This window comes from Homo sapiens, chromosome 3 (assembly GCF_000001405.40).
Source record: "Homo sapiens chromosome 3, GRCh38.p14 Primary Assembly".
NCBI classification, from domain to species: domain Eukaryota; kingdom Metazoa; phylum Chordata; class Mammalia; order Primates; family Hominidae; genus Homo; species Homo sapiens.
Window position 1 is genome coordinate 13,702,512 of NC_000003.12, and position 14,211 is coordinate 13,716,722.

Below are 14,211 nucleotides of genomic sequence, written 5' to 3' on the forward strand. Positions count from 1 at the left end.
GGGAGAAGGTGGAGGAAACCGAGAGAACCCCCATATGGGGAGGCTGCTCTACCTTTAGGGGGACACGTGGAGGAAACAGAACCCGCATGTAAGGAGGCTGGTCTACCATAGGGGCGGGGGCAGGTGGAAGGGACTGAGGGGACTCTCGTATTAGAGGGCTGGTCTACTGTGGGGGTTATGTGGAGGGAACTGAGGGGACCCCCATGTGAGGAGACTGGTCTACCATTAAGGTGGGGTCACATAGAGGGAACCGAGGGAATGTCCATGAAAACAGGCTGGTCTACCACTGGGGTGGGGGCACTTGGAGAGAACTGAGGAAACCCCTGTGTGAGAAGGCTAGTCTACCATTGGGGTAGGGGGACTTGGAGTTGAACTGAAAGGACCCCTGTATGAGGAGGCTGGCCTACCATCATAGTGGGAGCACATGGAGAAAACTGAGGAAGCCCCCATGTTAGGAGGTTGGTCTACCATTGGGGCAAAAATCACGTGGCGATGATTGAGAAGACCCATGCGTGAGAAGGCTAGTCAACAATTGGGGTAGGGGGACTTAGAGTAGAACTGAAAGAATTCTTGGGTGAGGAGGCTGGTCTACCATTGGCATGAAACGTGGGATGAAAAGGGCAATGTGGAGTTAACTGAGGATAACCATGTGAGGAGGCTGGTCTACCACTGACATGGGGGCACGTGGAGAGGGACGGAGGGGATTCTTGTGTGAGGAGGCTGGTCTACCATTGGGGAGGTCACATGGAGGGAGCTGAGGGGACCTCTGGATGAGGCAAGTAGTCTACCATTGTAGTGGGGCCACGTGGAGGAAACTGAGGGTATACCCATGTGAGAAGGCTGGTCTACCATTAGGGTGGGGGGCCATGTGGAAATAATTGAGAAGGCCCGAATGTGAGTAGGTCATTCTACCATTGGGGTGAGAGCACATGGAGGGAACTGAGGGGATCCCAGTGTGAGGAGGCTGGTCTACCGTTGAGGGGTCCCCATGGACGGGAACTGAGGGGAAACCCATGTGAAGAGGCTTGTCTACCATTCGGGGGGCACATGGAGGGAAATGAGGGGACCCCCATATGAGGAGGCTGGTCTATCATTGAGAAGGCCACATAGAGGGGAACTGAGGGAACCCATATGTGAGAAAGCTGGTCTACTGTGGGGGGGATGTGGAGGAAATTGAGGGGGCCCACATGTAAGGTAGTTTGTCTGTCATTGGGGTGGGAGCACTTTAAGGGTACTGAAAGGACCCCCATGTGAGGAGGCTCATCTATCGTTGGTTGGGTACATATGGAGAGAACTGAAGGGACACCCAAGTGAGGAGGCTGGTCTACCATAAAGGTGAGGGTACGTGGAGGAAACTGAGAGAGCCCTCATGTAAGGAGGCTCATCTACCATTGGGCTAAGGGCAATATGGAGATAACTGAGAAGGCCAGTGTGTGAGGAGGCTGGTCTACCCTTGGGATGAGGAGGGTTTTCTACCACTGAGGGGCCATGAGAAGGGAACTGAAAGAATCCCCTTGTGAGAAGGCTGGTTTACCATTAAGAAGGGAATGTGGACAGAAGTGAGGGGACCTCATGTGAGGAGGCTGGTCCACCATTAGGGAGGGCCATGTGGAGGGAACTGATGGGACCCCAGTGTGAGGAGGCTGCCCTACCATTGAGGAGGCCGTGTCTAGATAACTGAGTAAACTACTGTGTGAGAAGGCTGATCTACCACTGGGGGGCCAAGTTGAGGCAACTGAGGGGGCCCCCATGTTAGGATGCTGGTCTACAACTCCGGTAGAGGCATGTGGAGAAAACTGAGTGAAAACTTGTATGAGGAGGCTGTTCTACCATTGAAGTAAAGGCACATGGAGGAAACTTAGGGAGAAATAAAGGCACATGTGAGAAAACTGGCCTACCTTTTGGGGGGTCACCGAAAGCAAACTTAGGGGACCCTCATATGAGGAGGCGGGTCTACCACTGGAAGGGTCTCCATAGAGGGAACTGAAGAAACCACCGTGTGATGCAGCTGGTCCACAATTTGCTGGGGTGGGGGGCGGGGTGGGGAGGCACACATGGAAAGAACTGAGGAAATGGCCATGTAAGAAGGCTTGCATACCATTGAGGTGGGGGCATGTGGATGGAACTGAGAAGACCCCTGTGTGAGGTGGTTGGCCTTTCATTGGGGTGGCAGCACATGGAGGAAAACAGAGGAAACCACTGGTGGGGAGGCAGATCTACTATTGGGAACTGTGGAGACCTTCATGTGAGAAGGCTGGTGTACCATTGGTGGCGCCATGTGGAAAGAAATAAGGGGATTCCCGTGTGAGGAGACTGGTCTATCATTGGGGGCCAAGTGAAAAGAACTGAGGGGACCCCCACTTGAGGAGGCTGGTCTACAATTAGGGTGGGGGGACAAGGAAAAAATTGAGGGATCTGCAATTAGGGTGGGGGGACAAGGAAAAAATTGAGGGACCTTCATGTGAGGAACTGGTCTACTATTATGGGGGCATGTGGAGAGAACTGAGTGAACCTCTGTGTAAGAAGGGTGGTCTACTATTGAGGGCGCCACATAGAAGGGAACTGAGGAAACACCCATTGTAGAAGGAATGTATACCCTTTGGGTGGAGGCACATATAGAGAACTGAGGGGACCCCTGTATGAGGAGGCTGGTCTACCATTGGGGTTGGGGCATGTGGAGGGAACTGAAGGGATGCCTGTGTGAGGAGGCTTGTCTGTCATTGAGGAGGCCATGTGAAGGGAACTGAGGAGACCCCGTGTGAGGAGGCTGATCTACCACTGGGATGGGGGCACATAGAGGGAACTGAGGGGTCCCTCGTGTGAGGAGGCTGGTTTACCATTGAGTAAGTTATGTGGTGAGAACAAGGGGACCCCCATGTGAGGAGGCTGTTCTAACATTAAAAAGGTAGGGAACTGAGAGGATCCAGTGTGAGGAGACTGGTCTACCATTGGGTGGGCACTTGAGAGGAGGCTGAGTCAAAACAACTGTGAGGAGGCTGGTCTACCACCAGGGTGGGAGCACATGGAGGGAACTGAGGAAACTCTTGTGAGAGAAAGCTGCTTTATCATTGGGGCAGAGGCACATAAAGAGAAACTGGGGAATCCCTGTGTGAAGAGGCTGGTCTTTCATTGAGGGGGCATGTGGAGAGAACTGAGAAAATCCCTATGTAAGGAGGCTGGTCTACCATTGTAGATGGGGCACATGGACAGAAGCACTGTGTGAGAAGGCTGGTTTACCATTGGAGGGGGGCATGTGGAGGCAACTGAGAGGAACACCATGTAAAAAGGCTGGCCTACCACTGTGGTGGGGGCGCGTAGAGGGAACTGAGGAGTCCCCCATGTAAGGTGGCTGGTTTACCATTGAGCAGGCCACGTGGAGGGAAATGAGTGGTCCCTTATGTGAGGAGGCTGTTCTATGACTGGGGTGGGGCCACCTGGAGAGGAGATGAGTGGACTTTTGTGTAAGAAGGCTGGTGTACATTGAGGGGGGTTCACCTAGAGGGAACTGAGGAAACACCCCTGCAAGGGAGGAGGCTGGTCTACCATTGGAGGGGACTGTGTGGAGGAAACTGAGTGGGCCCCCTTGTGAGACATCTGGTCTACCATTATGATAGGGGCATGTGGAGTAAACTGAGGGGTCCCCCATGTGAGGAGGCTGGTCTACTCTTGGGGTGGTGTGTGCCTTGGAATGGAAATGAAAAAAACCCCATGTAAGGAGGCTGGTCTACCATGGGGAGTACACGTGGAGGGAACTGAGAGGACCCCTAAGTGAGGAAGCTGGTGTATCATTGAGGGTCCACATGGAGGGTACTGAAGAGACCCCCATGTGAGGAGGCTCTTTTATTATCGGGATGTGGGCACATGGAGAAAACTGAGAAAAGGCTGGTCTACCACTGAGGGGGCCCTGTAGAGGGTACTAAGGGGCCCTTCATGTGATGAGGCTGGTCTACTATTGAGGGGGCCAAATGGAAAGAACTGAGGGGACCATCGTGGGAGGAGACTGGTATACCATTGAGGTGTAAGCATGTGGAGGAAATTGAAAGAACCCCCAGTTGAGGAGGCTGTCCTACCTTTAGGGAGTCTCATGGAGGGTACTGTTGGAACCCCCATGTTGGGAGGCTGGCCAACCATTGGGTCTGGGGCACTTGGAGGGAACTGAGGGGACCCTGGTTTGAGGAGGCACCTGTGTGATGGGGGCTTTGGGAGGAAGCTGAGGTACCCCTGTGTGAGTAGGCTTGTCTACCACTGGGGGAATCACGTGGAGAGAACTGAGGTGACCCTTTTGTGAGGAAGCTGGTTTACTGTTGGGGTGAAAGCACATGGAGAAAACTGAGGGTACCCCCTTGTGAGGAGGCTGGTCTACCATTTAAAAGGCCACATGGAGAGAACTGAGGGGACATCTGTGTATGGAGGCTGGTCTACCATTGAGGGGGCAATGTGGAAGGAATTGAGGGGACCCTTATGTGAGGTGGCTGGTCTACCATTGAGTTGGGGACATGTGAAGGAAAGAGAGGGGATCCCCCCCGTGAGGAGGCTGTTCTATCATTGGGGGACCATGTGGAGGGAACTGAGGGGACCCCCCCCGTAAGAAGGCTTATCTACCACTGGGGTAGCAGCACATTGAAGTAAATGAGGGGACCCCCGTGTGACAAGTCTGGTCTACCTTTGGGGTGGGGGCACATAGAGGGGAACTAAGGGGATCCCCGTTTGAGAAGACTGGTCTACCATCAGGGTGGGGGCACTTGGAGGGAACTGAGGAAACCCCTATATGAGGGGATTGGTAGATCACTGGGGTTAGGAAATGTGTAGGGAAATTGAAATGACCCCTGTAAGGAAGGCACATGAAAAATACTGAGGGGATCCCCGTGTGAGGCAGCTGGTCTACTATTATGGTGAGGGCACATAGAGGAACCTGAGGGGACCCTCGTGTGGAGAGGCTGGTCTATCATTGTGGTAGAGCCCACATGGAGATAATTGAGAAAACCTGTGTGTGAGGAGGCTGGTCTACCATTGGGTGGGTACATGTGGGGAACAGAGGGGAAGCCCATGTGAGGAGGCTTGTTTACCATTGGGGTAGGGTAACATGGAGGTGAGTGATGGGACTCCTGTGTGAGAAGGCTGGTCTACCTTTGGGGTGGGGGCACGTTGAAGGAAACTAAGGGGACCCCTTTGTGAGAAGACCAGTCTACCATTGGGGGGCACATGGAGAAAGCTGAGGGGATGCCCACGTGAGAAGGCTTGTCTATGATTGGCTTCGGGGCACATGGCCATAACTGAGGAAACCCCAATGTGAGGCGGGTGGTTTACCATTGGGGTTAGGAAACACGGAGGGCAACTAAAAGAACTCCAGTGTGAGAAGGCTGGCCTGCCATTGGGGGGTACATGGAGGGAATTGAAAGGATTTCCATTGAGGAGGCTGGTCTACCATTGGGTTGGGGGCACGTGAAGGGGAACTGAATGGATTCCCATGTAAGGAGGTTGGTCTACCATTGTGTGTGGTGGGGGCACATGGAGAAAACTCAGAGGACATCCATGTAAGGAGGCTGGTCTATTATTGGGGTAGGGACAAGTAGAGGTAACTGAGGGGAATCCCTGTGTAGGGAGACTGGTCTACCATTGAGGGAGCCCTGTGGAGAAAACTGAGGAAATTCCATGTGAGGAGCATTGTCTACCATATAGGTGAGGGCACGTGGAGGAAACTGAGAGAATTCCCGAGTGAGGAGGCTAGTTTACCATTGAGGTAATCACATTTAGGACACCAAGGAAACCCTCATGTGAGGAGGCTAGTATACCACTGGGGTGGGGGAATGGGGAAGTAACCGAGGAGACCCCCATGTGAGGAGGCATGTTTACCATTGGGGTGGAGGTACATGAGGGAAATTGAGGGGACCCCCGTGTTAGGAGGCTTGTCTGGCATTAAGAGAACCACGTGGAGAAAACTGAGGGAACCCACATGGGAGGAAACTGATTTACCATTGGGATGGAGGCACGTGGGGGGAACTGGGGGAACCCCCCTGTGAGAAGGCTGGTCTACCATTGAGGAGGTTACGTGGAGGGAACTGAGGGGGCCTACATGTGAGGCGGCTGGTCTACCACTGGCAGGTAGCACATGGAGGGAACTGAGGGGGTCCTCGTGTGAGAAGGCTGGTCTACCATTGAAAAGGCTACATGGAGGGAACTGAAGGGGCTCCTGTGTGAGGAGACAGGTCTACCATTGAGGGAATCATGTGGAGGGAAGTGAGGAGACCCTCCTGTGAGGTAGCTGGTCTACCATTGGGTTGGGGGCACTTGAAGGGAACTGAGGGGGCCCTTGTGCTAGGAGGCTGATCTATCATTAGGGGGGGTCATATGGAACAAACTGACTGGACACCAAAGTGAGGAGAGTGGTCTACCATAGAGGTTAAAGCATAAAAAGGAAAGAGAGCCTCTGTGTGAGGAGGCTAGTCTACCATTGATGGGGGCACATTGAGGGAACTGAGGGGATCCCTATCTGAGGAGGTGGGTCTACCATTGGTGTGGGGAGATGCGGAGGGAACAGAGAGGATTCCTTTGTGAGGAGGCTTGTCTACAACTGAAGTTGGAGCACATGAAGAGAACTGAGGGAACCCCTCATGTGAGGCAGATGATCTACCACTGAGGAGGGGGATGAGGAGGAAACTGACAAGACCCCCATGTAAGGCCAGTCTGTTATTGGGGTGGAGGGCACCTGGAGGAAATTGAGGGGAGCCCCATGTGAGGAGGCTTTTCTATCATTGTGATGGGGAAACGTGGAGAGGAACTGGGTGGATCTTCGTGTGAAGAGGCTGGTCTACCATTGGAGGGGGCCACGTGGACATAACTGAGGAAATCCCCATGTAAGGAGGCTGGTCTACCTTTGGGGAGCCATGTGGAGGGAAGTAAGTGCACCCCCTTTTGAGGCATCTGGTCTACCACTGTGGTGGGGGCACATGGGGAAAACTGAGAGGATCCCTATGTAAGGAGCCTGGTTTACCTTTGTGGTGGGGGCACGTGGAGGTAACCGAGGGAACCCCCCTGTGAGGAGGCTGGTCTATCATTGGAGGGTGGTTATGTGGAGGGAATGGAGGAAACCTTCTTGTGAGGAGGACTGTTTATCATTGGAGATCACATGGAGGAAACTCAGAGAACCCCCTTGTGAGGAGTCTAGTCTACCTTTGAGGTAATCATGCTTAGGGCACTGAGAAAACCCCCATGTGAGGTGGCTAGTATACAATTGGGGTGAGAGAATGTGGAGGGAACCTGAGGGGATCCCCCTGTGTAAAGCGTCTGATCTACCATTGAGGGTGCATGTGAGGGGAACTGAGAAGATGCCCAAGTGAGGAGGCTGGTCTACCATTGAGGGGGATATGTGGAGGGAACTAAGGGGACCCCTGTGTGGGGAGGCTGGTCTACCATTGGGATGGGGGCATGTGGTGATAACTGAGGGGACCCCCATGTGAGGAGGCTTGTATACCTTTGAGTGGGCCACATGGATGGAACTGAGGGGACCTACATGTGAGAGGGCTGGTTTACCATGGTGTTGGGGGCATGTGGAGGGAACTGAGGGGATGCCAATGAAAGAAGTCTGGCCTACCATTAGGAATGGGGAATGTGGATAGAAGTGAGGAAACCCTTGTGTGAGGAGACTGATTTACCATTGGGGTGGGGGGACTTGAAGTGGAACTAAAAAGACCCCTGTGTGAGGAGGTGGGTCTACCACTGGGGGTCATGTGTAGGAAACTGAGAGGATCCCTGAGTGAGGAGCCTGATCTATCATTGAGGGGACCACGTGGAGGGAACTGAGGAAACCCTGGGTGAGGAAGCTGGTCTACCATTGAGGGGGCCACAAGGATACTGAGGGGACCCCCGTGTGAGGAGGCTGGTCTACCATTGAAAAGGCCATGTGAAGGAAACTGAGAGAATGCTTGTGTGATGAGGCTGGTCCACCACTGATGGGGCCACGTGGAGGGAACTGAGGGGTCCCTCTTGTGAGGTGGCTGGTCTACCATTGGGTTGGGAGTGAGTGAAGGAAACTGAGAGGACCCTTGTGCTAGGAGGCTGTTCTATTATTGTGGATGGAGGTGATGTGGAGGGAACTGAGTGGACACCCAACTGAAGAGACTGGTTTACCATAGGGGTGGGGGCATGTGGAGAAAACAGAGAACCCCCATATAAGGGGGCTGCTTTTTCACTGAGCAGGGCACATTGAGGGAACTGAAGAAATTCCTGTGTGAGGAGGCTTGTCTACCACTCAGTGGGCTATGTAGAGGAAACTGAGAGGACCCCTATGTGAGGTGGCCAGTCTACCATTGTGGTGGGGGCACATGGAGGAAACTGGGGGTATCCCCTGTGTGAGGTGTCTGGTCTACCATTTGGGTTGGGGCCTTGTAGAGATAAGTGAGAAAACCTGCGTGTGAAGGGACTGAGGGGAACTGAAAAGAGTGGTCTACCACGGGGTTGGGGGCACCTCAAAGGAAGTAAGGGAACCTTTGTGTGGGGAGGCTAGTCTACCTTTGAGGGGGGCTACATGAAAGGAAACAGAGGAAACCCATGTGAGGAAAGTGGCCTACCTTTGCAGCGGCCACAAGGAGGGAAGTGTGGGGACCACTATGTAAGGAGACTGGTCTATTATTGAGGGGGCCACATGGAGGGGAATAGAGGGGATCAGCATGTGAGGAGGCTGGTCTACCATGGAAGAGGATGTGGAGGGAACTGAGGGGACCTGCATTTGAGGAGGTTGGTCTACCATTAAGGGTCCACATGAACAGGAACTAAGACATCTGTGTGAGGTGGCTGGTCTACTATTGTTGGGGGCATGTGGAAGAAATGGAGTGGACTTCCCCCTTGTGAGATATCTGGTCCACCATTGTGGTGGAGGCACATGGAGGAAACTGAGGGACTCCTGTGTGAGGATGCTGGTCTACCATTGGGCTGGGGGCATGTGAAGAGAAACTGAGGGAATCCCCATGTGAGGAGGCTTGTCTACCATTAAAAGGGCCACATGGAGGAAAGTGAGGGCACCCTTGTCTTAGAAGGCTGGTCTACCTTTGAGTGAACCACATGAAGTGAACTGAGGGGAACCCCTTGAGAGGTGGCTGGTCTATTATTCTTGGGAGCACGTGGAGGGAACTGAGGGGACCCCATGAAAGAAGGCTGGTCTACTACTGCGATTGGGGGGTATGTGGAGAGAACTGAGGAAACTCGGTAGTGAAGCTGCTTGTCTACCATTGGGTGAGCACATGGGAGGGAACTGAGGGGACCCCCATGTGAAGAGTCTGATCTACCACTGTGATGGGAGCATGTGGAGGGAACTGAGGGGACCCCCATGTGAACAGTCTGATCTACCACTGTGATGGGAGCATGTGGAGGGAACTGAGGGGACCTTTATGTGGGGAGGCTTGTCTATCACTGTGGTAGGGGCTTGTGAAGGGAAACGACCCCTTCCCCCACCCCTTGTGAGCACGTTGGTCTACCATTGCGGGGGCTTGAGAAGAAAACTGAAGGAACTCCTGCGTGAGGTAGTTCATATACCTTTGAACAGGCCACATGGAGGGAATTGAGTGCACCCACGTGTTAAGTGTCTGGTCTACCACTGGGGGAAGCATATTGAGGGAACTAAGGAGATGCCCATGAAAGGAGGCCGGTGTACCACTGGGGTTGGGTCACATGGAGGGAAATGAGGAAAATCCCATGTGAGGAGGCTTGTCTACCATTGAGGTGGGGGGACTGAGAAGACCCCCATTTGAGGAGGCTGATTTTTATTCAGTGAGCCACGTGAAGAAAACTGATGGGACCCCCATGTGAAGAGGCTGATTAACCATTGGGGTGGAGCCTCCACTAGGGTGGAGGCATGTGGAGAAAACTGCAGGAAACTTCAAGTGAGAAGGCTGATCTAACATTTGAGGGAACCCCCGTTTGAGGAGGCTGTTCTACCACTGAGGTGGGGGCACCTGGAGAGGTAATGGGTGGATCTTTGTGTGAGGAGCCTGGTCTACCACTGGGGTGGGGATATAAGAAGACAAACTGAGGGAATCTCTGTGTGAGGAGGCTGGTCTTTCATTGAGGGGGCACGTGGAGGAAACTGAGAAGATCACCATGTGAGGAGGCTGGTCTTCCATGGGAATGGGGGCAAGTGGAGAAAACTGAACAGGCTCTCATGTGAAGTGTTTGGCCTACCATTATGGTGGGGTCATGTGGAGGAAACTGAGGGGACCCCAATGTGAGGAGGCTGGTCTAACATTGAGAGGGCACATGGAGAAAACTGAGAGGGTTGCCATATAAGCAGGCTGGTGGTACCACATGGAGAAAACTGAGGTGACTTTGTTGTGAGGAGGCTGGTATACCTTTGGGGGGGCCACGTGGAGGAAATTGAATGGACACCCCCTTTGAGGTGTCTGGTCTACCATTGTGGTGGGGGCACGTGGTGGAAACTGAGGGGACCCCATCTGAGAAGGCTGTCTACCATTTGGGGGGCTAAGTGGAGGAAACTGAGGGGACACCCATGTGAGGAGGCTGGTCTACCATCGAGGTGGGAGAATGTGGAGGAAACTGAGAGAACCCCCTTGTGAGGAGGCTTGACTACCTTTGGGGTGGGGGATCATGAAGGGAACTGAGAGGACCCCCATATTAGGAGGCTGGCCTACCATTGAGGGAACCATGTGGAGAAAACTGATGGGAACCACACATGAGGAGGCTGATCTACCACTGGTGTGGGGGCACATGGAGGGAACTGAGGGAACTCCCATCTGAGAAGGTTGGTCTATTATTGGGTGGGGTTATGTGGAGGGAACTGAGGGAACATTCACGTGAGGAGGCTGGTCTACCATTGGGAGGCCACCTAGGGAGAACTGAGGGGATCCCCATATGAGGTGGCTGGTCTACCAATGGGGGAATCACGTCTAGGGCACTGAGGAAATCCTTGTGTGAGGAGCCTAGTATACCAGTGGAATGGGAGTTCTTGGAGGAAATTGAGGGCACCCCTTTGTGGAGGTGCTTGTCTACCATTGGGGTGGGGGCACTTGGAGGGAACTGGGGAGACACCCATGTGAGAAGGCTGGTGTACCATAGCGGTGGGGACACGTGGAGGAAACTGAGGAAACCCCTGTGTGAGGAGGCTGATCTACCATTGGCGGACCACCTGGAGGAAACTGAGAGGACCCCCATGTGAGGCAACTGGTCTTCCATGGTGGGGCACATGACAGAAACTGAGAAGACATTCATCTGAGGAGGCTGGTCTACAATTGAGGGGGACCTGTGGAGGGTAGTCTGTGTGAGGAGGCTGGTCTGCCCTTGAGGTGGCCGAGTAGAAAGAAGAGAGGAAACCCTCGTGTGAGGAGGCTAGTATACCATTGGTGTGGGGGCATATGGAGGGAACTGAGGGAACCTCCTCATGTGAGGAGGGTGGTTTACCATTGGGAAGGCTGTATTGATAGAACCCCCATCTGGGGAGGCTCATCTAACACTGGGGTGGGGGCACATGGAAGGAACTGAGTGGACCCTTATGTGAGAAGGCTGGTCTACCTTTGTGGTGGGGGCTTTTGGAGGAACTGGAGGGGACACCCATGTAAGGACACTTGTCTATTATTGGGGTGGGAGCACGTGAAGGGAACTGAGGGGATGCTTCTGTGAGGAGAGTGGTCTTTTGTTGAGGGGGTCACATGGAGGGAAACCGAGGGAACCCCCGTATGAGGAGGCTGGTCTACCATTGAGGGGGCCACATTAAGAAAACTGAGGGTACCTGATTTGAGGGGGCTTGTCTACTATTTGGTTGGGAGGTAACCGAGGGGACTCCTGTGTGATGAGGTTGGTTTACCACTGTGGTGTGGGGCATGTGTAGGGAAGTTAGGGACCACCATATGGGGAAGCTGGTCTACCACTGAGAGGGCCACATGGAGGAGAACTGAGGGGAAACCCATGTGAGGAGGCTGGTCTACCGTTGCAGGGGCCACATGGAGGGAAGTCAGGGGACCCCCATTTGAAGAGACCCATCTTTTATTGAGGGGGCCACATGGAGGGAAGTCAGGGGACCGCCATTTGAAGAGACCCATCTTTTATTGAGGGGGCCACATGGAGGGGAAGAGAGGGGACCCATGTGTGAGGAGACTGGTCTATCACTGGGGGGGCACATGGAGAAAACCGAGGGGACCCCTATATGAGGAGTCTGGTCTACCATTAAGTGTCCACATGGACGGGAACTAATGGGACCCTTGTGTGAGGAGGCTAGTCTACCATTAGTGGTGGCATGTAAAGGGAACTTGGACCCCCATGTGAGGCAGCTGGTCTACCATTCATGGGGGGCTGCGGAGGGAACTGTGTGGAGGCTGGTCCACCTTTGAGCGGGCCATGTGTAGGAATCTGTGGAGACCCCAATGTGAGGAGGCTAGTCTACCATTGGGGTTGGGGGACAAAAAGGGAACTGAGGGTACCAGTGTGAGGAGGCTGGTCTGCCATTGATGGGGCTATGTGGAGGGAACTGATGGGCACCCTGTTTGAGGAGGCTGGTCTATCATTTGGGTGGGGAAACATTTAGGGAACTGAGGGGGTCCCAATCTGAGGAGACTGGTCTACTATTGAGGGGCCCAAGGTGGAGGGAACTGAAGGGACCTCCGTGTGAGAAGGCTTGTCTACTGGTGGAGGCACATGGAAGAAAGTGAGGGGACCCTTGTGTGAGTAGGCTGGTTTACCATTGAGTGGTCATGTGGAGGCAACTGAGGTGACCCTTGTGTGTGGAGGCTGTTTTTCCACTGGGGTGGGCACATGGAGAGAACTGAGGTGGTGGGGGCCAGTGAGTCATCTGGTCTGCCTTTGGGGTGGAGGCTTGGGAAGGAAACTGAAGGGATTCTTGTGTGAGGAGGCTGGTCTACCATTGATGGGACCACGTGGAGGGAACTGAGTGGGTCCCTATGTGAGAAGGCTGGTCCACCACTGGAGGTGGAGGGGCACGTGTAGGAATCTGTGGGGACCCTAATGTGAGGAGGCTAGTCTACCACTGGGGTTGGGACACACAAAGGGAACTGAGGGTACTCCTGTGTGAAGAGGCTGGTCTACCATTGACAGGGTTACATGGAGGGAACTGAGGGGACCCCTGCCTTGTGAGGAGGCTCATCTGCCACTGGGAGGCCACGTGGAGGGAACTGAGGAGACCTCTACATTGGGGGGCCATGTGGTGGGAACTGAGGGGACCACCATGTGAGGGGGCTGGTCTACCATTGGGGGGACACTTGGAGGGAACTGTGGGGACTCCCATGTGAGGGGGCTGGTCTACTATTGGGTTTGGGGACCATGTGAGGAGGTTGGTTTCCCATTGTGGGGGTCACGTGGAAGGAACTGAGGGGGCCCCTGTGTGAGGATCCTGGTTGGCCTTTGGGGTGGGGGCCATGGGAGAGGAACTGTCACTCCAGAAGACAGCTAACACCCATTGTGTCTTGAAATTTTCAGCCCAGCTGAATGGAGCTTCATGGGTGAGTCCAGGCAAGACCAGCCAGAAACCTACCTGTATTTGCTGACTAACAGAATAGAAAGTAATGGTAAATCAGTGTTTTAGGTTGCCCCATTTGGGGGCGGTTTGTTGCTCAATAGGTCACTGCTCATGGTCCATGTTCCTAGTTGGAAAACTAAGAGCTCCTGAGGCAGGCCCGGCTTTGCAAGAGAACCCAGGTTCCCACAGCAGGCTGGCCTATCAGTGACATCCCTTTCAAAGGGAGGACCAGGGATCCGGTGACTGGGATCTGATTATTCATGAACTCATTCATTTGGATCTATTTTCTGCCCAACTCAGGGCTGCAGGCTGAGAATCCAGAGATGGTCACAGCCTCTATCCTTGTATGTACTCCCCAATTCATAAGCGAGACAGACAGGAAAACCACCAATGACAGTGTGAGGTGGGCTGTGAGGGTGATAGTGAGGATGATTACTATCACGATAGTTAATAGAGTGTAATAATAACAAGTTATGTGCTCACCATGCCCCAGGCACGCTTCTAAGTACTTCACATGTACCAGCTTATATAATTCTCACAGCAGCCCTAGGAAGAAGATCTTGTTATGTTCATTTCCATTTCACAGATGAGGAAACAGAGGGACAGAGAGGTTAGGCGACTCTCCTTAGGAAGTGGTGGATCTCAGAGCAGCGAGGGAGCCCAGCCCAGAGAAAGGCCCAGAGAAGGGAGCGATTATCTGCCAGGAGGAAAGAGGAAGGCTTTTTTTTGGGAGGGGT

General features: G+C 53.7%; 1 long non-coding RNA gene across 1 annotated transcript in view; it reads left to right on the forward strand.

Moving 5' to 3' along the window:
* Positions 1-14,211, forward strand: part of LINC00620 (long intergenic non-protein coding RNA 620) — a 95,915-nt gene that overhangs the window by 51,791 nt on the left and 29,913 nt on the right. The window lies entirely within an intron of this gene.